The sequence below is a fragment of the Homo sapiens genome, chromosome 10 (genome assembly GCF_000001405.40).
Source record: "Homo sapiens chromosome 10, GRCh38.p14 Primary Assembly".
NCBI lineage: Eukaryota > Metazoa > Chordata > Mammalia > Primates > Hominidae > Homo > Homo sapiens.
Window position 1 is genome coordinate 16,950,733 of NC_000010.11, and position 24,966 is coordinate 16,975,698.

At 42.2% G+C, this 24,966-nt stretch overlaps 1 protein-coding gene across 5 annotated transcripts in view, besides 1 other annotated feature; it reads right to left on the reverse strand.

The window, feature by feature from the left end:
- Window positions 1-24,966, reverse strand: part of CUBN (cubilin) — a 305,846-nt gene that overhangs the window by 126,767 nt on the left and 154,113 nt on the right. For all 5 annotated transcript variants that reach the window (NM_001081.4, XM_011519710.3, XM_011519709.3 and 2 more), the window contains 2 exons: window positions 3,657-3,816; window positions 1,544-1,657 (listed from right to left, as the gene is read on the reverse strand). In NM_001081.4, coding sequence (NP_001072.2) covers window positions 1,544-1,657; window positions 3,657-3,816 — 274 coding nt within the window. The remainder of the gene's footprint in view (window positions 1-1,543; window positions 1,658-3,656; window positions 3,817-24,966) is intronic.
- Window positions 17,658-18,221: an enhancer, noted in NCBI's record as "OCT4-NANOG hESC enhancer chr10:17010389-17010952 (GRCh37/hg19 assembly coordinates)". NCBI's record gives its function as "activates a minimal SCP1, AML or CMV promoter by ChIP-STARR-seq in primed H9 embryonic stem cells {active_cell/tissue: H9 hESC(primed)}" and the evidence as "EXISTENCE:reporter gene assay evidence [ECO:0000049][PMID:30033119]".

The following is a 24,966-nucleotide window of genomic DNA, read 5'->3' on the forward strand; positions in this document are numbered from 1 at the left end:
AAGAGGACTCCTGGGTAGGTTCATTCCAGGCACTATAAGGGAATATCTTGTTGGAAAATGCCGTCTTTCCAGTTTTTATATCACCATTGCTGTGTTCCTCGCAGAAGCATTTTTCTCAATAGACTCATTTCCTTAAATTCGGATTCTTTGCATGTGCTTGTAAATAAGGCATTCTTTTCTCCCTGGAGCCCACATTTTAGCTCACTCAGTTTTATTTTCAGGCTAGAGCTAGTGCCCTAAGGTTCAGAGACATTTATCAAGAAAGTTTTGAATTACTTGCAGAACAGCAAGCACCTGGATACATTTTCTTTTTGTTGTTCTTTAAGCTCCCTAATCTTCAGAATAGGATCTTTTCCTATTGCTGTTCTTGAACCAGTGAGATCTTTCATCTAAATGCTTTACAACTCATTAGAAAATAATCCTCAGGCACAAACTTCTCAGTTCAAGGGAGGGGGCTTCTTTATCTACAGCTCAGTTTCTGGCTGGCTGGCAACTTTCTTTGGGGCTCCACCTCCCCGTTTGAATTGGCTAAGGATGACATCATCGGCTGCCACATCTTATGCATGTCAATGAAGATACTAGCAATTTGTTAACTCCTGACATCCCAGGGGAAAGTGCTAGAGAATATTTAAGCCAAACTCTTCATTTTGCAGATTACTTTTTCATGGCCTGATTAGCTTAAGTGACTTCCCTATTTTCACACAGGCGATTAATTACTGTGCAGAGTGAAGAACTTAAAGACTTTCCTACATTATGCCTGAAACTGTATTTTCCTGCAAACCTCAAAGGAGGGCAGGGCTCCTCTGAAACAGGATTCAGAAGGGCCCCAGCATCACCCGCTTTGCAGCCATTCTGTCATGTCCTTGAGGGGCATTTCCTGATGTTCTCTGTCTGTAAAATGAGGACAGAAGTCCTTACCATCGGACTGTTACCAGGTCAGAAAATAAGATTCTAGGGTTCCAAAAAAGAAAAGAAAGTAAGCGTTTATTCAATGTTTCTTCTAGGCCTGTGCTGGAATAGTACCTTGCAGGAGAGCCCAGGTTTTATGAATGTTTGCTTTGATGGATAGGTGCGCGCATTGCATTCTGGCCCGTGAGTCACTGATTCTCCAGTCTGTGACTCTTCTTCATTTGTTCACTCAGCAACTGTCTTGAACATCAGCTATACTCAAGGCACACATGTCAAAAACTATTTATCGATTATTTTGGTTTACCCCCAATCTCATACGCCTGCATACGCCTGTTAATACAGCAAGGTTGTAGGTGTGTTGTGTTGTTGTGCGTGTGTGTGTTTTTTAACCTTTGCTAGGCCTTGACATGAAAAAAAAGAAATTGTTTTTAAATTTAGAAGCAACTGTAGAAATGACTTCCCTATCAGATTAGGAAATGCTTGTTCTTAAGCACATCAGGAATTGGGACTTGCAAAAGATGAAGAGGAAGGCCATCGATTGTTAGCACTGAGATAAGAAGGTTACTCATAGACTGACCTTCCCACAGACACCTTCTCTCCTGTGTGCCTTTTCTTTTTCATTTTTGTTACTTACATGGAGGTTGCGCTTGAATGATCCAGCTGCAGTTCTGATTGTTTGGATAATTGGCAGGGAACCGTGGAGAGGAAACAGTATCAAATGAGCTGGTGAGGATGTGGCCTCCGCAGGCTGGGGAACACACAAACACACATACATGTCATATGCTTTTCATTTCTACTGACCGTACAAAACAATTATTTGATGAATAAAACCATCAATGATTTTTCTTCTTATTTCTAAAATGCACGCCAAGAAAGTTCTCCATAAGGAGAGCTGTACATAAACCATGAGAAAACAGGAGCACAGTTTATATTTTTAACAATTATTCTTCAACTACAGGAAGTAGGAAGTGGCAAAAAGCAACAGATTAAATGTCTATGAATTGCCTAAGTCATTCAAACAAAATTCTTGCATGGATTCACTTACACTGCCCACTCATAAATCATAGGCATAGGGATAATCTGCTTATAAATGACCTCTTTTTTTCAGGAAAATAAATACTCAATTGAATAAGGCTTCATAAGGATGACTGTAGATTACTAGAGAAGAGCAAAATTCGATGTGAGTCTTGAAGAGGGAGAGGCGGTCACCGCTGGAGGGCGTAAGAGGAGTCTTGCTGAGGAGGAGGCCGAGGCTAAACTAGGACTTGGAGGGTGAGAAAAGGGAGGCCAGGGAGGGGACTGCCTGAGCAGACACAGAGGAGCATCTATAGAGGCTCAGCTGGAGCATGGGGTGCCCCAGGGATGTGGGTGACTGACGCTGGAGAGAGGTCAGGGTGGGTTCTGGGGCTCTTGGTTAACATCTGCAGGAGCTTGAGCTTTATTCTCCAGGCCAGGTGGAGACGGGACAGACATTGAGCATTCCAATGGCATGATCAGAGCAGGGCTTTTACAGGCGACTTTGGAGAGAGATGGGGTAAGGGTAGGTGACTTTCAGGAGGTTGTTACAGTCCGGATGAAAGCTAGCAGGGACTTTTTACTATGAAGCAACAAACAAGTGAATAATAACATGCAAAAGAACTATTAGGAAACTAGTTTTTCTTTAAAATCAACAAGAATATAGTCTGTCTTGCTCCAAAGTCTAAAGGTCTATGGTGCGTATTTGGGAGACCTCGATCCAGGCACTGTCCCCATCCAGAGCTCTTTACTACAGAATATAAGCGAGTTGACTAAGATAGACATAATGACTACACAGACTAAATGTATTTGTAGTGAATGTTCTGAGTCATCTGAATACAAGTCATCTCTGACTATGGGATAAGGGGTTCATCTCTTAGAACGAGCAGATGAAAGGCAATGGGTAAAAAGGTCTTGGAGAAGTGGTGATTTAAGAACAAAAATGGCCAGGTATGGTGGGAGGCTAAGACAGGAGAATCACTTGAGGCCAGGAGTTTGAGACCAGCCCGGGCAACAGAGCAGATCCCATCTCTAAAAAAGAAAAAAAATAGCCAGGCGTGGGGGTGCACCTATAGTCCCAGCTACTCAGGAGGCTGAGGTGGGAGGATTGCCTGAGCCTGGGAGGTCGAGGCTTCAGTGAGCCGTGATTGCACCACTGCACTCCAGCCTGGGTGACAGAGAGAGACCCTGTGGAAAGAAAGGGAAGGGGAGGGAAAGAGAGATGAGGAAAAGGAAGGGGAGGAGAGGAAGGGGAAGAAGAGGGGAGGAAGGGAGGGAACAAAGAAAGAAAAATAAATGGAAAACAACAGTGACTCCTCAGTTGGACAATGGCAGGATTCAGAAATGAGGGAAACCACTGCTTCCAGGGGCTGGCATCTGAATACATTACAAGCAAGTCTTGTAATTGATAGCAGTGTATCCCATTCTAGTGTAAAGCCTTGGGTAGTGCTAGATCAGTGAATTTGGATAAAACTTTTTTATACTGTTTCTAGTCTTAAAAGCACTTTTAAACTTGTTAGAGATGCGGGTCCAAAGGAAGTCAGAGAAGGAGAAGGTTACAAGCATCAGGAGTTGGGATAATTGTAAGTCACAGTTCTTTTGTTCTATTTAATTTTTTACATGTTAAGTAGAAGGCTGTGATCAATTTCTGAGCACAGGTCTCATTTCACTGTTGCACCAAACAGAGCACTGAAGATTTCTCTTGTGCCTGGGAAGATCCACAGGGTACTTGCCTTGCCTGAATTGAGCTCGGAAGCCTCTGTTCTGTCTGGAAGGGCCAGACTGAAATCTCAAGAAGAGGCTGTTTCCTGAGGAGACGATGGGGTTAGCCAGCTGCTCCCTTCCACACGTCCTGGCAAGGCGGGACATTGTGGAGCTTAAGCCATCGTATGCCTACAAGAAAGGAGACAGGGCAAACAGTGGTTCAGATTCACATCTAGAAGGCCTGTATTCCACGAACTGTCTGCACGCCGATATACTAGTGGATAATCACACGTTTGCTGGATCTAGGGAAACTGGCTTTATTGTCCTTTCTCACAGCTGTAACAAGTCTTTGGTCATTTCTAGGGATGCTGACGTGAATTTCAGCAGGACTTCCTCTGTCAGAGCCACTATTAGATTTCTTGATATCTTCATAAATGCCGTCCCTTCCACACTCCCCTTCCTTCCCAACCCCAGTGTAGTCACCTCACAGGCCATGCCCACAACATGTGCTGGAAATGTGTAATGCAAGAATAGACACATGAGAAAACAGACGAGAAATAATGATGAGTGATGAGCATTTGTTGTCAGAATCCCAACATTTGTTGGACCTGTTTGTTCTTCATAAGTTTCGTGATAGGGTAATGCTCAAGAGAAGAGAAATGGCAGAATTCTTTTCAAACGATAGGGGTGATATAAGGCTGATTTAGAAAACTACCTCTCTCTCTTTTTGCCCGTGCATGGTGGCTCACATCTACAATCCCAGCACTTTGGGAGGCTGAGGCGGGTGGATCACCTGAGGTCAGGAGTTCAAGACCAGCCTGGCCAACATGGCGAGACCCCCGTCTCTAATAAAAAATACACAAATTAGCCAGGTGTGGTGGTGTGCACCTGTAGTCAAAGCTACTCAGGAGGCTGAGGCAGGAGAATTGCTTGAACCTGGGAGGCGGAGGTTGCAGTGAGCTGAGATCCCACCACTGCACTCCAGCCTGGGCAACAGAGAGCGAGATTCTGTCTCAAAAAAAAAAAAAAAAAAAAAAAAAAAAGGAAAAGAAAATTACCTCTCTCTTTTTAACTGTTGGTCTCTGTCTTGCCTAGTGCCATGCTGGGACCTAGCTGACCCTCCAGGCATGTAATGAAATGGAATCTATGTCACATATACCTGAAATCTCTGTATTGATTTGTAAAATTTGAAGCTTACTAATTTGCTTGGAACTCAGTGTCTGGATGAATTTTTGAATACTCTTATGTGTAAATCAGGGGGGAAATGAGTTCCTTTGCTTGGATGATTAATAATAACTCCCATTCATTAGTGCTTACTATGTGCCAGGAACTGGATTCAGCCCTTCACGTACACTGTCCCATTTTATCCTCCCAAATTTCTTTCTGTTTTTAAGAACAGGACAACAGAGGCACAGAGAGCCTAAGTAATGGGCCCAAGTCACACAATTCCTAAGAGGGAGCAGGTCACGTTGAATCAGACCACTAGATTCCAGAGTCCAGAATTGAAACCCTTTCCTCTTGTTCACTGCAAGGTATCAACTGAGCAGGACGCATGCATCAACCTGCCAACCATTAGAATGTGACTGAAAGTATGAAGGTAAAATATGGCCATTTCATTAAAAACAAATTGCCATTTATATTTCATAAGAAAATCTTGGGGAAAAAAATAGAAAGTTCGGAGATTCAATGTAAGGAAGTTACTCGCAAGTGACTTTAAAAATCTGGTGATGATTATAATCAGTGTTCTGTTTAGCACACAGGTATGATTCTGCATGTTCTCTTTAGCCACAGGTATGATTGGCAGGATATTCTCAGTTTGGCTTATACAAGCCCATGAATCAAATATCAATAGGATTTTTAACTTTCTGAGGAGCTAAAGCTCTTACAATAATAAGTTTAAAACAAATGTGGGTCTGTTCTGGAGCAGCAAATCTTTTCTTTTTTATTATTTAATGTTCAAAATTTAAATATATATATATATATCTCCAATAAATGAAACCTGATGACTGATTTTCATTCAACAAAGATTGATTAAAAACTAAATTCCATTTTTCTAACCAATTCAAATTATAATTTCCAATCTAGTATGAATCCTTCCTTTGAACACGTTGAACACTGTAAACAGTAGACAAAATGACATTTAAACCATCACTACAAAACCTCTTACTACATTCATACTTGAGTCTACTCTCAAATATCACCACCATTGGTTTAATTCAAGTCTTTATTATCTCTATACTTGGTTTTATGCTGTCCTAAGGTTATAGATACAGTGTCCTAAGCTTGTAGTAATATTCTATTAATACTGTCTTAGTTTTAATATCAAAGGATAATGAATACCTTCTTAGAACATCTGTGGTTACAGAGTATGGAGAATACACCAATTGAATCTTAAGGCACAGACTATTTACTTCTCTCAAGATAATTTATTCATTTATTTGTTTAGAATAGCATTTTTTCATTTTTATAAAAGTTTAAGATTCAATTTTATGAATATATACAGTTTATATTTATTTTTTATTTTGGTTTTAAGTGATGCATAATAATTGAACACATGTATGAGGGATAGTGTGATGTTTCAATACACATATACATTGTGTAATTATCAAATCATGGTATTCAGCATGTCCATCAATTCAAACATTTATCATTTATTTGTGGTGAGACCATTAAGAATCCTCTCTTCTAGTTACTTTTAACACACTATAATATTTATAAACCAGAATATTGTTTACTGTGGGTGCCCTACTGTGTTATAGAACATCAGAACTTATTCCTCTTACCTAACTGTAATTGTATACCCTTTGACAAATATCTCCCCATAATTTCCTCCCTGCTACCGTCCCCAGCCTCTGGTAACCACTATTCTACCCTGTACTTGTGCGAGATCAGCATTTTTACACTCCACAAATGAGTGACATCATGCAATATTTATCTTTCTGTGCCTGGCTTATTTCCATGAACATAAAGTCCTTCAGGCTCATCCATGATGCCACAAATGACAGGATTGTGTTCATTTCTATTGCTAAGTACCATCCCATTGTTTATATATATCACATTTTAAAAATCCATTCATCCATTGATAAGTCTTTTTGTCTTCAAGAGAAGACATACAAATGACCAACAGGTAAATGAAAAAATGCTCAACATCACTAATCACCAGTGAAATCCAAATCAAAGCCACAGTGAAATACCACTTAATCCCAATTAGAAAATAATAAGGGCTGGTGTGGATGTGGGGAAAAGGGAACCTTTACACACTATTGATGGGAATGTAAATTGATACAGCCATTATGAAAAACAGTATGGACATTTCTCAAAAAATCAAAAATAGAGCTACCATATGATCCAACAGTCTCACTCCTGGGATAAGCAGACAAAGGAAATTAAATAAGTATGTTGAATATATCTGCATTTCCTTGTTAACTGAAGCACTAGTCACAATAGCCAAAATATGGAATCAACCTAAGTGTCTAGCATTTCTTAATTTTTTAAACTAGTGGAACAATGGGTTCTATGGTGTTTATAGACTTCTCAAAAAAAAAAAAAAGAAAAAACTCTAAGATTTTGCAAGTCCATGGACTCACAAAATAAGACTCTTCTGGTTTTAAAAAAATTTTCTCCGAAATTCAAAGGTCCAAGGAATAAGTACATATTGTTTCTTCCCTCTCACAGTCCTTGTTTTCAGTCTGAGTGGTTGGAATCCTCTCAAGGGACAAGAGGAAATAAGGGGAACAAAAGTAAACTAAAATATTAAGGCTGAAATCTTCAGAAAATCACCCGAATCACCCATTTCCTTGGGGGTCCTTTGAAAGGGGCACACCTAGAAGCTTTACAGACTTCCCAGCTATTTCCCCTACCCCCAGCCCCTGAGGTCCTGGAATTACAAGACCTCTGCTAAAATTCATCTGGCTGAAGTAATACTTCACAAGGAATGGATCAAAAATAGAAGGTTTTCTCAAGACCAGCCTGGCCAACATGACAAAACCATGTCTCTACTAAAAATACAAAAAACAATTAGCCAGGCATGGTGGTGGGCACCTGTAATCCCAGCTACTCAGGAGGCTGAGGCATGAGATTTGCTTCAACCCAGGAGGCAGAGGTTGCAGTGAGCTGCGATTGCACCACTGCACTCCATCATGGGTGACAGAGTGAGACTCCATCTCAATAAAAAGAAGGTTTTCATGTGTCCCGGAATTCAAATTATATACCAATGACACCCCAAATGTGATGAGCATGTTATAATTTTACAAGCTCCATCACAAACATCCTAACCTGTGTGATTTTCTATAAAAATAAAGACAGGGAGGCAAGTGCTAAGCTATTAAACTACTGTCTCATTCAATGTAGGCTAGTAAGTCATCCAAGTTCACATCACTAGTGAGTAGCAGCGTCTTCTCTCTCCAAATTCTAGATTTACCATGTTACTTCTCTTTAAAATGCTCATGACACACCTCAGTCTGCTTCTTTGTGATACCATAGAATACCTGAGGCCAGGTGATTTATAAAGAGCAGAAATTTATTTCTAACAGTTCAGAAGGCTGGGAAGTCCAAGAACAAGCTGCCAGCAAGTTACAGCCGGGTCTCTCTGCTTCAAGGTGGTACCTTGAATGGTGCATCCTCTTGTGGGGAGGAACATCATGTCACCAAGTGGCAGAAGTGCAGAAGAGAGAGAACCTGTTGTTGCAAGCCCTTTTTATAGCAACATTAATCCATTCATGATGGCAAGGCTTTCAGTACCTGAACACCACCCAAAGGCCATACCTCCTGACACTAGAGGAGGTATTAAGCTTCCAGCACATGAACTTGGAGGGGACACATTCAAACCGTAGCATTATAGTTATTAAGTTTTATGTACCTAATTGTCATTTTATGAAATTTTGAAACCTCAGGCTATCAAGGAGGGAGAATATTTTTAACAGATTTTGAAATATAAATTCTTTCATTTGAGTGTTTTTAACACTTATAATATCAAATCATTATTCTCAGGCTTCGTGTGGTGGTTCACGCCTGTAATCCCAGACTTTGGGAAGCTGAGGTGGGCAGATCACCTGAAGTCGGGAGTTCAAGACCAGCCTGACCAGCATGGAGAAGCTCCATCTCTACTAAAAATACAAAATTAGCCAGATGTAGTGGCACATGCCTGTAATCCCAGCTACTCAGGAGGCTGAGGCAGGAGAATCACTTGAACCCAGGAGGCAGAGGTTGTGGTGAGCTGAGATAGTGCCACTGCACTCCAGCCTGGGCAACAAGAGCAAAACTCCGTCTCAAAAAAAAAAAAAGACAAAAAACAACTCACATTTAAAGTTTCAATTTATAAAATTCCACAAGAAAAGCACTTCAAGGAAGAAAATATGAGAAACCTTGCTCCCATTCATTTACAATTCTAAAGTCATAAAAATTATCGATATGAATTTCACCTTAACTTCCATTTAGTTCCCAAGGCAAAGCTAGCAAATGATATTACTATTGGATACACATATATTAATATAACATATAATTCTTACTTAAGTCTACTGCCAAGAGTTTGCTAGGCCTCAGCATTGATTTTCTGATCGTTACTTAAGTGGTAAAAGTCAGGGCAATATACAAACAAAATAAAACTTTGTACATGTCAACTAATTCATTTCTAGATGATAGTAATAAAATAAAAATTTGAAGTTGAAGCCACAAAATAAAAAGTGGCCACTGTCCCCCAGAGAATTCTAACTGCCGAAGCTCTTAAAACAGAGGCAGATCTAATGGAGTGGTCATTTAATTTCTACAGAAAAGTTGACCAGTCTTTTTGTAAAATATCCAGAATTTTATAAAATGCCAAGATACTAACACACATATTCAAAATACATATGAGGCCGGGTGCAGTGGCTCACGCCTGTAATCCCAGCACTTTGGGAGACCGAGGCAGGTGGATCACCTGAGGTCAGGAGTTTGAGACCAGTCTGGCCAACATGGTGAAACCCCATCTCTATTAAAAATACAAAAATTAGCCAGGCGTAGTGACGTGTGCCTGTAATCCCAGCTACCTGGGAGGCTGAGGCACGAGAATTGCTTGAACCCAGGAGGCAGAGGCTACAATGAGTGGAGATGGTGCCACTGTACTCCAGCCTGGGTGACAGAATAAGACTCCATCTCAAAACAAAACAAACAAAAAACCCCCACAAAAACAAAAAGCTTAACTTTATTATATAAAAATAGGAGACTTTTTAAAAAGTACAGAACCTGGCACATACAGGCAATAAATGTTTGATGAACAAATGAATAAATGAATATGTATGACAGTTGCTGGTCTCTAAAAATTGAGAACTAGGGTTGAGGAAAACCCTGAGTTAAGAAACAGCTGTCCTTGCCCTCATAGATTCAATGCTGTAAACACATAGTAGACACAATTGTGGGTAAGAGGTTAGTCACAGGGGGACGGAGGTCAGCTCGGCTGCTTTCTGGGCAGGCTTCCTATATGCCAGGTCTGAAGGAGAATGAAGGGGCCCAACCACAGGGCACAGCCAATGTCATGCACTCCGCTCCCAGGGGCCCTTCACCAACAGGGTGAGAGAAGGCAGAGGCAGAATGTGGGCAGAGGACATTGGACCCGTCCCCAAGGCCCAGAGTATTCTGAACACATGATATATTATGGTGCTATCAAGTCCCCTCCACATCCTCAGCTCTAGCCAGAAGTGAGAACTAAGCCAAACATTTATGAAATTTCTTTTAATTAGTATTATAATTGTTATTTTTGTAGTCAGGGTCTTACCCTGTCACCCAGGCTGGCATACAGTGGTGTGACAGCTCACTGCAGCCTTGACCTCCTGGGCTCAAGGGATCCTCCCACCTCAGCCTCCCAAATAGCTGGGACTACAGGTGTGCACCACCACACTTGGCTAATTTTTAAATGTTTTGTAGAGAGGGGATTTTGCTGTATTGCCTAGTGTGGAACTCCTGGCTCAAGCGATCCTGCCACCTCAGCCTCCCAAAGTGCTGGGATTATAGGCATGAGCCACAGTGCCCGGCCTTAATTTTCATACCTGATGCTTCGATACCTTGAGGAGATTTGCATAAATGTCCATCATTTCTAAAGTTAACATGTGTTCAACTTTGTCACATGTCAAGTGACACAGGAGGAAAACCATTCAAGTGTGAGACCAACATCCCTTCCTGGTGGCATTTCTAGTTCTGGAGGCCTGTGATCATAGTTCTAAAGAACGGTAATGTGGGAAAATAAAGAAGCCAAGCAAAGGGAACTTTTTAATTCTCATACACACCTTTGTCTTATAAATAAGCATTATTTAAAAGCATGTTGCATTATTTAAAAGTTGGTGGCAGGATTCCTTTTAGAGGGAAAAGCAATCCCTTTTTTTTTTTTTTTTTTTTTTTTTGAGACGGAGTCTCGCTCTGTGGCCCAGGCTGGAGTGCAGTGGCGGGATCTCGACTCACTGCAACCTCCGCCTCCCGGGTTCACGCCATTCTCCTGCCTCAGCCTCCTGAGTAGCTGGGACTACAGGCGCCCGCCACTACGCCTGGCTAATTTTTTTGTATTTTCAGTAGAGACAAGGTTTCACCGTGTTAGCCAGGATGGTCTCCATCTCCTGACCTCGTGATCCGCCCGCCTCAGCCTCCCAAAGTGCTGGGATTACAGGCGTGAGCCATGGCGCCCGGCCGGAAAAGCAATCTTTATTGACGAAAATATCTTCATAGGCTCTCAGAACATGAGTATAGTAGGGGAGGTGTTATTTTATGTTGTTGGGGACAAGTTGCCCCCTTCTCTTTGCTTTCTCATCTGTTGCTAAATTTCTTAATCTGCAAAATTGGATTAATATGAATATATAGCTCATACTGTTCACAAGAATAAGTTAAAAGATACAATACTTAGGAGAGTGGCTGGCATGTAGTAAGCATGTGATAGATGTTAGCCTCTAGTATCAAAGTGAGACAAAGTGGGAGCTAAATTGCTGTGTAAGAAATGAAGTAGGGAATTAGAAAGCTATGGAGGCAAAAAAGAAAAGAGAACCAAGGGGTGGGGTGGGGGTTGTCCAGAAATATGGGTAGGTAGGAGTGGGAGAGATAAGAAGTGAAAATTTTCCAACTGGAGATTGTAGGGGTGGGGGGTGGTAGGCAACTTCTGACCCAGCTCTCAGTGAGCCCCACGTCCTGGTATTCATGCCTCTGTGTAATCTCCTCCCTGGCGTATGGGATAGACCTCGTGATTGGTTCTAATTAACAGAATACAATGGAAGTGATAGTCTGTCACCTCCATAATGAGGTGAGAAAAGATGGTTCCTGCCCTCTTGCTAGCACTTTCTGTCTTGTTGGACTCTCTCTTGTCCTCTCTATTGCTTGCCCTGGTGAGCAAGGTGCCGTGTTCTGAGATACTCCGTGGAGAGGCCTGTGTGGCAGGGAGTCAAGGGAGGCCTCAGCCAACAGCCTGCAAGGAACTGAACCCTGTGTACATTCACATGAGTGAGCCAGGAAGCATGCAGGTGAGTGGCACCTGGCTTCCTGACCCACGGAAACTGTAAATGTTGTTGTCTTAAGCTGGTAAGTTCTGGGGTAAGTCTGCGGGTGTGGAATGAAGAACAAAGGCTTCCGAAGAATGAGGCTGTCCAGTGCTGTATTCAAGTCACATGCTGTACTGCTCTTTGCAGTAACCACCTCAGAGACCTCATCTAAAAATGAGGGTAGGTAAACTCCCCTTGCAGCCTCATAAGGTTATTGTAAAGATCAAATAAGACAATGTATTGAAAGTTTTGTGGAAACTGATTACAAGTATGAAGGTAAGTTTTTCTCATTTCGTTCCAGAAATTCTCATATATACATTTCTTTTTTCTTTTCTTTTCTTTTTTTTCTTTTTTTTTTTTTTTTGAGACAGAGTCTCACTCTGTCACCCAGGTTGGAGTGCAGTGGTGCTCACTGCAACCTCTGCCTTCCAGGTTCAAGTGATTCTCCTGCCTCAGCCTCCCAAGCAGCTGGGATTACAGGTACACACCACCACGCCCAGCTAATTTTTTGTATTTGTAGTAGGGACAGGTTTTCTCCATGTTGGCCAGGCTATTTTCGAACTCCTGACCTCAAGCAATCCATCCACCTCAGCCTCCCAAAGTGCTGGGATTACAGGCATGAGCCACTGTGCCCGGCCTCATATATAAATTTCTAACGAAATTTAACATACAGAAAAGTTAAAAGCTAGCAATTCCACTTCTGCAGGTTTACACTAGAGAAAGTCTTAGGTGGTTACATACAGATATTGCTTCAAGAATATTCGGTACAAAAAGTTGCTAAGGAAAAATATTGCAAGCAACTTAAATGTTCATTAACAGGAGAATGGGCAAATGACTTGTGGTGCATATATAAAATAGAATGTGTAGTGACTAAAAGAATGCATTAGATCTGTATGCATTACAATGCAGAAAATGTGAAAAACAGAATAATGAGTGAATAGAGCAAGTTGAAGAAGGATATGTAGCGTGTGACATGATGTACATAAAGTCTTAAAATATGCAAAATAATATTTCATAGTGTGTATGGATATATGCATATAATGAAAAAACTATAAAAACCTTCATGGGAATCACAAACCAGAAATCTCATTAGCAGTTTCCTCTGGGACGGGGAACAGGGCATGGGATCAATGATAGGAGCATGTGGGACTTCACCTGTGTCTTGAACAGTTCATTTCTGTTTGGGAGAAAACAAAAGAACTTGAAGCAAATGTGGCAAAATATGAAGATTTGGCCAGTCTGGACAGGGAGAAGTTTTTGTATGTTATATACTTTGTATGCATTATATAGTCGGTATTTCTCTACATACTTAAAATATTTCATAGTAGAGTGTTCAATAAAGAAAAGAAAAGCTATATAAAGGAAATAATAGGAAATGTACTAAGATTCACATATAAAGATACTCCTCATAGCATTGTTATAACAAGAAAAGAAAAAACCCATTAATAATCCAAATGGTTAATAATAAAGCGTGGCTAACTGAATTACAGCACGTCCATTTCATTGACTAGCCAAAGAAACTATTTAAGAAAATTTCAAATAATATGAAGTGAAAAAGGCAAGATACAAAATTATATATAATATTATCTTAACTATGCATGTTTGTGTGTACATGAGTGCGTGTATATATTTGTATGTGTGTGTTTGTGAGGGAAATAAACCAAAATTTCAATAGCTTGTATCTATATTGTAATACTAAGGATGGCAATAATTTCTTATTTCTTCTTTTCTGTATTCTACAAATTTAATATGAGGAGCATGTAAGGTTTAAAAATAAAATCTATATTAAAAGTTCTTTAGTGTTTCATCACTCGGACGCATAAGTGATTACATACAGACATGAAAGGGCACTATTCATATAACAGCACTGCAGCACCCAAGCCAGATGGCTACTAACGCCAGTTAATCTAGCCTCTTGCTGCCGCCAGGAATGTATCAAGTTTAATGGACGTGGCTTCTGTTTTAAGATCTCCAAAGCATCTGTTCATTGCCTAATATCTACAACTGTGCCCCAGTCCTCTCCCCTAAGCCCTAGGCTTGTATAGACAACTGTATCGTAGACATCATCTCTTCCATGTTCCACAAACCCCGAAAATCAGTGTCTCAAACTGAAGCCCTCTTCCTGTCCCTCTCATTTCTCCCTTACCTACATTTCTTGCCACAGTAAATGCCGGAAGCATGTACCCAACGGCCAGACCGTTTGGGGAACCGCCCCCATCCCTGCTACATGTAGTGGATCAGCATGTTCTAACATCTGTTTGTCCGATGTATCGCTTGGCTCCTTCCCTCTACTTCATCCATGTCCCTCTCTGGTGTCTTGGTGTGGGGCCTCATTACATCTTGCCTAGGCCACTACAACACCCTGAAATTTCCCCTGCCTTCCATTTGTGTCTTCCTTCCATTCAGTCTCAAAACAACTCAGTGCACAGCGTGCGCTTTCTAAAATGTAACATCACATACTAAAGTAAAGCTGAGCATACATTTTTAAATTGCACGAAATAAAGACCAGTAATCACGCATGCTTTGCCTAAGCACTAAAGACCACGTGATTGACGTGGACGTGATGCAGAGCACTTCAGCGGCTGCCCCTCTCTGCTGTAATCAAAACCCTGGGGTGATTAAATGGCTCGTGACCACCTGACTGAAATGTCAGTCATCGTTTGCACCCCTCATGACTGAGGGGGAAATGAATTGTAGCTTCCTCAGTAATATCTGTATTTTTATTTCTAAAAAAAAAAAAAAAACAGGAATATATTCCCTGAGATTGTTGGAAAGTAGGAAGTGAGGAATTTTTTTCTACTGGATTTTTTATCTTGTTTACTAAGTTTCATCTTGCTCAGGGAGAAAATTTTTTTAAAAGATTCCTTAAGATCTTTAACATAGCGTTAATAGTAATAGAAGCAGGAGTCATTGTAATAGAAAAATTAGGAATAGCAGCAAATACTTATCTGAACCAGACACTGATAGGTACTTAAATACATTTGTTTACATTTGATTCTTACAGTTCCACTTTGCAGCAGGGAAAACTGAGCTCTGAAAACATACATGACTTGCCCAATCACACGCTTAGCAGTGCAGAGCCAATATACAAACCCCATCTGTCTGACGTCCGACCAAGTATGATTAAACCTAGAGAAAAGGTGAAATCAAGTTGTATTCATTCAGTTAGAATGTTGAGAGACCATGATTCTGTGAAGCTAAGTGAGATATTCACGGTCTCCAAGAAAGAAAACCACAGCAGCTCTGGAAATAGGGTGGGAGTCCCCCATCCTTTGCATCTGAACCTGCAATCAAGCATCCTCAGTAGCATTTGAGAAAGTCTTATATTGGGCTCCCGTGGCTTTCCAAGTGGTTGGCATCTGTCCTGCATTCCATTCCAGTGAACGTGCATGGGATTCCCAGCATGGCTCACTTAGCAGAATGGGTAACAAAGAGCACAGTGTCTGGGGTCAATACATAAACCCAGAACTTCTATCGTTGCCACATAAACTTGATTCTATTCCTGGATTCAGATATAAAGCTCCTCCTTGTCCTTCTCTGGTCCAACCGCCATTCTCTGGTCTAGTGTGGCCTCCTTCTCACCTGGACCCTTATGCTTTACTACATTTTTTTTTTTCTGAGACAGAGTCTCGCTCTGTCGCCCAGAATGGAGTGCAGTGGTGCAATCTCGGCTCACTGTAGCCTCTGTCTCCCAGGTTCAAGCAATTCTCATGTCTCAGCCTCCAAAGTAGCTGGGATTACAGGCATGCACCAGTACACCCAGCTACATTTCGTATTTTTAGTAGAGACAGGGTCTCACCATGTTGGCCAGGCTGGTCTTGAACTCTTGACCTCAAATGATCCACCCACCTTGGCCTTTCAAAGTGCTGGGATTACAGGCATGAGCCACTGTGCCAGTCCCGCTTTGCTACATTTTTAACTCCAGATGGTAACACAGGTCTCCTGCCCTGGATTGCCTTTGATCTTAGCAGGGTGCAAAAATGTGGTGAAGAATAAGACATTTAGGGCACAGGAGAGATAATTCACATGGAGGTGCAAAGTGATTTTGAGGATCGAGAGTCCATGAGGTATTTTCACATGTTATAATATGGCGGTATACCTGCTAATGGAATTGCCACTTTGGAATACGAACTTCTCCAAAATAGAGGAAACATTAAGTGATAGGGAGGGAAATCCCTCAGGAAATTATACAAGCTGTTACAGTCATAAATGTGAATGCGGAAGGAAATGAAAATATTACTCATTATAGCATCTCTTCTTGGGGCTGAGGAAGGAGGAAGCATCAGTTTCCTTTGTCAGTGATTTTTTTCCAGTTACGCTCCTTGGAAATTCAATACTAAGTTCAATTCACAACCCCACATCTCATATCACGATGCGTTCACCCCTATTTCTTTGTTCTACACTCTCCCACTCAGTCTTCACATCTTACAAGAGACTATAAACTCTAAAAACTTGCAGTTGTTGCGAGCACTGACTCAAAGATTCCTGGAAATGTTGACATGAGAAGAAATCTAAGATGCTCGTTTTACTTTCACAAATAAACATTTAAGGAGAGTCTGAGCTGAAATGGAAACCAAGCCAAACCAAACCCGTGTCCACAGATTGAGAGCTGTGGCTTCAACTCAACTCTTCCTTCATCTTGCAGATTCAAAGCACTGGCTCAGCATTTGGTTGTTAATAAGACACCCGCACCAGGAAGCAAAGTAGCTAAGCATGTTAATACAAATGCAAGTCACAAGATAAACGTTTGAAAAAGATCATCCTCAAGTATCAGATGGAAACAAAAATTCCTGTGGTGGGGCGTAAAGGAGGGAGGGAAGAAAGAGAGAGTGAGAGAGAGATACAGGGAGGAGAGAGAGAAAGAGACAAAAAGGGAGAGGGAGAGAGAGGAACAAAGAAAGGGAAAGATAAGAAGAGAAGGAGGGAGAAAGAGAGAGAAGGAGAGACGGAGAGAGAAAGAAGGAGAGACAGAGGGAGAGAGAGAGAAGGAGAGACAGAGGGAGAGAGAGAGAAGGAGAGACAGGGAGAGAGAGAGAAGGAGAGACAGAGGGAGAGAGAGGGGGAAAGAGGAAGAGAGGGAGAGAGAGCAAGAGGAAGAGGGAAAGAAAGAGGGACAGAAAGACAGGGAGAGAGAGAGAGGAAAAGAGAGAGAGAGGAAAAGAGAGGGAGAGAGGAAGAGGAGGGGAGAGAGAGAGACTGGTTTCTGTCATGGATTTGTTTGTAAAACAGTAAATATTTAAAGAAGACTTGTTTCCATCATCTCTTTGAAACCCAGAGTTCTATTATTCCTGTGTCTGTTTGCTCTGCTTTGGAAACCATCAGTGTTTTAAAAGGAAACACATCATGGGTGGTGTATTACAAAAATACAACAAAAGAGGATGCTGCGTTAGGTATCTGCCCTGTTCCACCCTGCATTTTATTGTCGAATAATGGAACAACAACAGACATTGCAGCTTTGGGTGGGAGCACAGGGAATTTTTTTTTTTTCCGGATCACATCAGACACTTTTCTTTCTTTCTCCTAGATAGCCACAAAAAGCTTCAGAAGTTACTAATCATATTGCTTTTGCTTTTGCTTTTTGGTACCAGGCTCTGTTAGCCCTCGTTTGTGTTTTCCTCCAAATGAGAGGCAGGACCTGGACCATGGTCGGCTTGCTTTGAGCTGCTCCTTGCTGATTCTCACAAAGCAGACATTCCAATGATCTGAGCAAAGAGGATGCTGGAAGCAGAGGTCAGGAATCTCCAGGGGCCAGCTGGTGCTGCTGAACGGACTTTCCTCTTCCTGCTCTCACACTGAGCTACAAGCAGCCTTTCTAGGAGATCAATAAGAGCTTGCAGAGCTACATGAATCGAAGACTTAGAAGAAAGGCTCTAATTAAGCAATTTAACTGTCAGTCAGAGGTCACTTTAATACTCAGCCTTCGTGAAAGGAAACGTAATGAAGCCACTTGTGTGCTGACCAGACAAGGCCATGCCCAGCCGATGGGTCCCACAGCTTCCTTAGCAAGAAATGCTCCTGATGTGTCATTGAGGAGAGCCCAAGGTTAATTACACCAGACACTTGAAGGTGACTGAGCAGAAAGTGCAAATATATTACCAAATGTGTTGAAACCTGCCTGCAAGTCCAGCTTCCTGATTAGCTCCCCTCGATGCCATCACAATTTCAATAGAAGTCAAAAAATCCAGTTTTTCCCTTTTCTCATTATAGCAGCATGCAATTCTAGAAAACGCACTTCTGTGATGTTATCTAAGTGCTCATGTGGCTCACAACACGAAGATTGTATATCAATAACAATGCCAGGGAGTGAACTCAGTACAGCACATTCCCAATGGTGTCCTCTGAGATTTTCCACCAAAGCACTGAGCATTGCAGGAGCAGAGATGACAAAAATTCATTTATTCAGCTATGCATCTATTAACAATTCATGCATCAAAAACATTGGTGCTTTGGCGATATAAAGACTACTGCTGTGGGTTCTGTGAAAGAGGATGGAGGCTGTGTATTACTGCTCCATTTTTTTTTTTTTAGATGGAGTCTTGCTCAGTTGCCAGGCTGGAGTGCAGTGGCACGATCTCAGCTCACTGCAGCCTCCGCCTCCGGGGTTCAAGTGATTCTCCTGCCTTAGCCTCCCGAGTAGCTGGGACTACAGGTATGCACCACAAAACCCAGCTAATTTTTGTATTTTTAGTAGAGACGGGGTTTCATCATGTTGGCCAGGATGGTCTCAATCTCTAGACCTCATGATCCGCCTGCCTTGGCATCCCAAAGTGCTGGGATTACAGGCGTGAGCCACTGAGCCCAGTCTACTGTTCCATTTTTAAATGTTCATTTGTTTCTTCTACTTGGCGAATTTTGCCTTTGTTTCCATGACACCAAGAGTAATGGCTGTTACATGTGGGCTTAGCTTGCCTCAATTTGGAACCTATAGGGACTAGGCCTACTCTAAGAAGAGCTTTCTATTGTATTCCCAGAAGAGTATGGGGATAGTCTTGTAACCCAGAGATCATGTGAAGCCTGGTGGCTGCCTGAGGTTGACTTCAACTTTGAGGATGAAACCACCACTGACGTCACTGGGCCCTCAGTGGCCATTTCATCTGCCATCTTGTCCTCCTTTTCTTACCCACAAATGCAACTCCTAACTGAATCCTCTTCCTTAGTTTTCTTCTTTCTGCTTCTGTTCCCCAGGCACCTGATTTTCTAAATAAGCAAACTAAGAACCCCAAGCCATGAAGAGGGTGAGGGGTGGTACACGTCCAGAAACAAGCACCTGGCAGTGTCTGGTACATATTTGGCACCGAAGGGGAAAGTAATGAAGGAAACCCTGACCTCCTGACTTCAAAGCAAGGACACTTTCCATTTCATATTTGAATTCTTAACACTTTTCCTTCTATTGACAAATGAAGGCTGGGCTTATCAGATATAGAAGTGAAAGTGGGCTGGGCACGGTGGCTCACGCCTATAATCCCAGCATTCACACCTGTAATCAGAGGCCGAGGCGGGTGGATCACCTGAGGTCAGAAGTTCAAAACCAGCCTGGCCAACATGGTGAAACCCCATCTCCACTAAAAACACAAAATATTAGCCGGGCATGGTGGCACATGCCTGTAATCCCAGCTACTTGGGAGGCTGAGGCAGGAGAATTGCTTGAACCTGGGAGGTGGAGGTCGCAGTGAGCTGAGATCACACCTTTGCACTCCAGCCTGGGCAACAAGAGTGAAACTCCATCTCAAAAAAAAAAAAAAAATCAAAGTGGCTCCAGCCTGACCCTAAATTTATTTTCTCCCTCTATTTTTCTAGTCTGCCATTCCGTATCCTGTACATAACTGCAATTTTTATATTTTACCAAAATACTTATTCACTTCGTAGGAAGCATAAGGCTTTCGTTTTAGTGCTGATCCTGCTGTTAATTTCTACTTAGCCTTGACCCTGACATTTCTGGATCTCAGTATCTTTTTTATTTTTTAATTAATTTTTATTTTTTGCACTGCCCCACCTCCACCTCAATGTCTTTTTTTAAAAAATTAGGTGACAACAGCAAACGAACTCTAAGCTTTCTTCTTCCAACCTTAACATTCTATGTATCTATAGGTTTATGACAGTTAATCATATGTGAAATCATATTTAACATACAGCTAAATTACTATTTCTTCTTCTAACAACCCAAATTGTTATAGAAGTTTTGAAAAAACAGGATGGCTGGTCCCATTCCAGCATAATTTTCACTGGTATTTAAAGAGTACACTTGAACTCTGTTAAAAATCTCCTGAACCCCAACATTATCTGACAGCATCACTGGCAACTGAATATTTTTCTCTTTGCTAATAACTCTGTCTAAGCAACAGGACCAGGACATTAACTTGAATGTCTCCAAAATGAAGGATTGGCTTTATATGAACTGAGACTGCAGAGATATTATGTAAGATGTTGGACTTTGGGGTACGTTTCCCGTCCAGTGTCCATCTGGCTGTAAAGATAGAGGGCTGGTGCTTCAACTCCGGCCTTCATGAATCCCTGGACAACTAACTAACAAGCTTCCAGCCTTGCCAGGGCATTGCCTGGTCTGGTTCCAAACCTCTGCAGACCTCCTGTCCCCTTAAGTGGGCACATTTGGCAAATATATAGCAGATCTCTACCCCAACTTACCTGGACAGTCTTGTTTTCTTTTAAAACTTCCTTATCTTTTTGTAAAGTTGATTTATAAATCATCCAAGAAAAAATGACTTAGTTTGTATACAATTTATGCAATTTTTAACATAATGAATTTATAAATCAGAAAAATCTTGTGCCAAGCCATGGGTTTCAATTTCTTATTCTAAAAAGTACAACATTCATAGAACCAATCTGGCGCTTCTTGGTGTCTCTGTCCTGAAAACATGATTTTCTCTACTGTTCGCCTGGCTCTCACATTCAGCTGCTCTTTTTCCACCTGCCCTCTTCACACAACTTATATTTCTCCATTTTTTTTAAAAAACCAACTCTCCACTGATTTTGGTTAACCCATTGGTTACTGCCCATTTTCTCCTTATGCCACTCATTTCCGTAACTCTGGGGAAAAGCTCAGAAGCTCCTGCACCTCCTAACCACTGTGACCTTGAGTCTTCCACCACCACCCGCCACAATCCTGCTCCTTGCAGGTTATTAAAGACGGAATCCAGGGGCTTTGTTGCAATCCTCACGCTCGTTGGCATCCTGCATGGGATTTGATACCTTTGATCACCCACCCTTGAAATTCAGCTTCCCTCGTGGTTTGAATGCTACCACTCTCTTCTGGTTCTCCACCAAGCACTCAGCGCACCTCCTCAGCCTCCTCTCCTCTGATCTTTCATCCACCCGTTACATGGCAGTGTTTCCCCAGGAGTTGGCTTGGCCCCTTTCTCTTGGTAAAATACTCCTAAAAGTGATCATACCTACTCCCACAACTTTAATAACCACCCAATATACAGAAATTATCCTCAATTGTATATGTCTAGCTCAGATCCTATCCCAAGCTCTGAACTCTTATGTCAAACTATATAATATTTAAACCCAAAAGTTTACAAGTCAAACTCACTATCATCTACTCCCTTTACTCAGTTAATGGCCTCATCATTCACAATTTTTTTTTTTTTTGAAACAGGGTCATGCTGTCACCCAGGCTGGAGTACAGTGGTGTGATCACAGCTCACCGCAGCCTCGACCTCCCATGCTCAAGCCATCCTCCCACCTCAACCTCCTGAGTTACTGGGAATACAGGTATGTGCCACTTGGCCAGGCTAATTTTTTAATTTTTTTGCAGAGATGGGGTCCAGGCTGGTGTCAAACTCCTGAGCTCAAACAATTCTCCTGTCTCGGCCTCCCAAAGTGCTGGAATTACAGGTATGAGCCATCACTCCCGGCCATTCATTCATTCTTCAAGCAAATAGGCTTCCCCCCACCATCTCTATCACCAGCCCCACCCACCACCATGTAATTAGCCTCTAATTCTAGTGACTGCCACCGTGACAGTTCTCCACGTGTCCCTGCGCTCTCCATGTGTCCCAAGACCACTGCCTACTATGAGACCTTATCACCTCTGATCCAAGCTTTTTCCATTGCTTCCCAAACAGACATGCTACCATCTTTCTTTTTCTCTGCCAAGCCATTCTTCACACACTGCTGCCTGTTGTCACTGTAGAATACAGCTCTGAGTATGTTATTCCCGTTTTACAGAAAATTTTCACTGACTCCATACTACCTATAGGATAATTTCAAATTCTTAACTGGAGCAGAAGAGAGCTCAGATGTCTTCTGTAGCCCCTTGGTCTCCACATGCTCCCCGGCATTTCTTCACGCTCCAGGGACAACACTCTCATTTTTTATTCCCAAATGTGCGTGCACCATTTCCCCATCCTTCCCTTGCAGCCTCCCCTCGTGGCCTCACTGCTGCATTTCTACTGGCGAGACTCTGCCACTTAAATGTCGCCTCCAGTGTGAACGCTTCCCTGGCTTCCAGGCCCAAATGAATGATGTCGGCCATTTTCACAATGATTCCAGAGCACTGAGCCCTAGATATGCTAAATCCTAGGTGCTATACTACGAGGAAGATTCGAAAGTGGGCTCTTCTGCTTAAGAGCTTGAGGCCCAGAATTACAGACGGCAAGTCCTGACCCTGACTTCTTTTTCTAAAAACCTTTCACCTTAGGTTCAAGGGTCCATGTGCAGGTTTGCTATAGAGGTAAATTGCCTGTCATGGGGGTTTGGTGTACAGTCTATTTTGTCACCCAGGTAATGAGCAAAGAACGTGATGGGTGGTTTTCAACTTGCTCCCTCCTCCCAGCTTCCAACCTCAAGTAGGCCCTGGCGCCTGTTGTTCCCTTCTTTGTGTCCATATGTACTCAGTGTTTAGCTCCCACTCCTGAGTGAGAACATGCAGTATTTAGTTTTCTGTTCCTGTGTTACTTCATTTAGGATTATGGCCTCCAGCTCCATCCATGTTGCTGAAAAGGACATGGTCTTGTTCATTCTTGTGGCTGTGTCACATTCCCTGGTGTATACGTAGCACGTTTTCTTCATCCCATCCACCATTGATGGGCATCTAGGTTGATTCCATGCCTTTGCTATCGTGGACAGTGCCGCGATGAACACGGGCATGCATGTCTGACTCTGACTTCTAAGTGCATTTCTGCTCCTAGTATTCCGCGCTGTCTCTTCTTCTAGTCCTCATTAAATGAACCTCCCCCAAAACACTCACCATCAGCAGCATCATAATGGCTAGCACAAGTGGAGAACTCTCTATGTGACAGCAAGCAGGTCATCTATATTATCTCAAATACCTAACAATAAATCTGACCTAGGTCCTCTTATTATCCCCATTTCCATTAAGGAAACTGAAGCTGAAAGGTTAACTTTCTTCCAAAGAACACAGCTAGAATATCACAAAGTCCAGGCTCAGCCCCAGAACCACCCTATATTAGAGCTAGATTTCTTAGCTGAAGCACTGTGCTGACTCACACTATCGGTGTGGCTCACTTCTTATTTTAATGTCTTGCCTGGGTTCTTAGAGGTATTTGCTTCTAATGTCTCTTCTGCCCACTGGCTGGGATTTTCCAACTACAATTAACTCTTTTTTTTTTTTGAGAGGGAGTCTCACTCTGTCGCCCAGGCTGGAGTGCAGTGGCGTGATCTTGGCTCAATGCAAGCTCTGCCTCCCGAGTTCCCGCCATGCCTGGCTGCTTTTTATATTTTTAGTAGAGACGGGGTTTCACCATGTTAGCCAGGATGGTCTCGATCTCCTGACCTCGTGATCCCCCCGCCTCGGCCTCCTAAAGTGCTGGGATTACAGGCGTGAGCCACCGCGCCCGGCCTACAGTTAACTCTTGAACAACAGAGGTTTGAACTGCCTGGGTCCACTTAAACACAGATTTTCTTCCGTCTCTGCCACCCCTGAGACAGCAAGACTAGCGCCCCCTCCCTCTTCCTCCCCAACCCACTCAATGTGAAGATGATGAGGATGAAGACCTTTATGATGATCAACTTCCACTTAATAAATAGTAAATATATTTTCTCTTCTTTACAGTTTTCTTGATAGCATTTTATTTTCTCTAGCTTACTTTGTTGAAAGAATACAGTATGTAATATATAAAACATATAAAATATCTGTTAATTGACTGTTTATGTTAATGGTAAGCCTTCTGTCCGTCATAGGTATTAGTAGTTAAGTTTTGGGGGACTTGAAAGTTGTATGTAGATTTTTCACTGCACGACAGGGAAGCAGGGGGCCAATGACCCTAATCCCAGCATTGTTCAAGAGTCAACTGTACTTCATACAGCATTATCTGATTCTGACAACTTGTTTGGACTATTATTACATTTTATATTTTGCCTTACCTACCAGCCCAAACTCCTCCCAGCACTTGTTTTTGAGTTTATTTTCCATCTCCGTGCCTAAGACCCGATCACATTTGAGGTTTCACTCCTGCTGTTTCCTCCTGCTGCACTTTGTTAAGCCAAGCCCAGCTGCATGCTGAAATATGGCAGTGTTCATAGAAAACCTTGTCTGTGTGTTTATGTCCCATGTAGGTGGAAAACCCTCCTCATGACCACAAGAGGGAAAATCCTAGCCATGCTGGCATGCTGTTGACCTAGGCTTTGGTTTGGTGACACACTTTGTATGTTAAATTCCATGGATTCTGCACTGTATCAAAGAAAAGAACACCATGCAGACGAGGGAGGAAACAAGGGGTAGAGCAATACCCACCATGGTCAAAACTATAAGTAGCTTTGTCTCTGGCCCATTCAAACTTCTCTTAAAGACCTTCTTTTTTTTTTTTTTTTTTTTTTTTTGAGAAGGAGTCTCGCTGTGTCGCCAGGCTGGAGTGCAGTGGTGCAATCT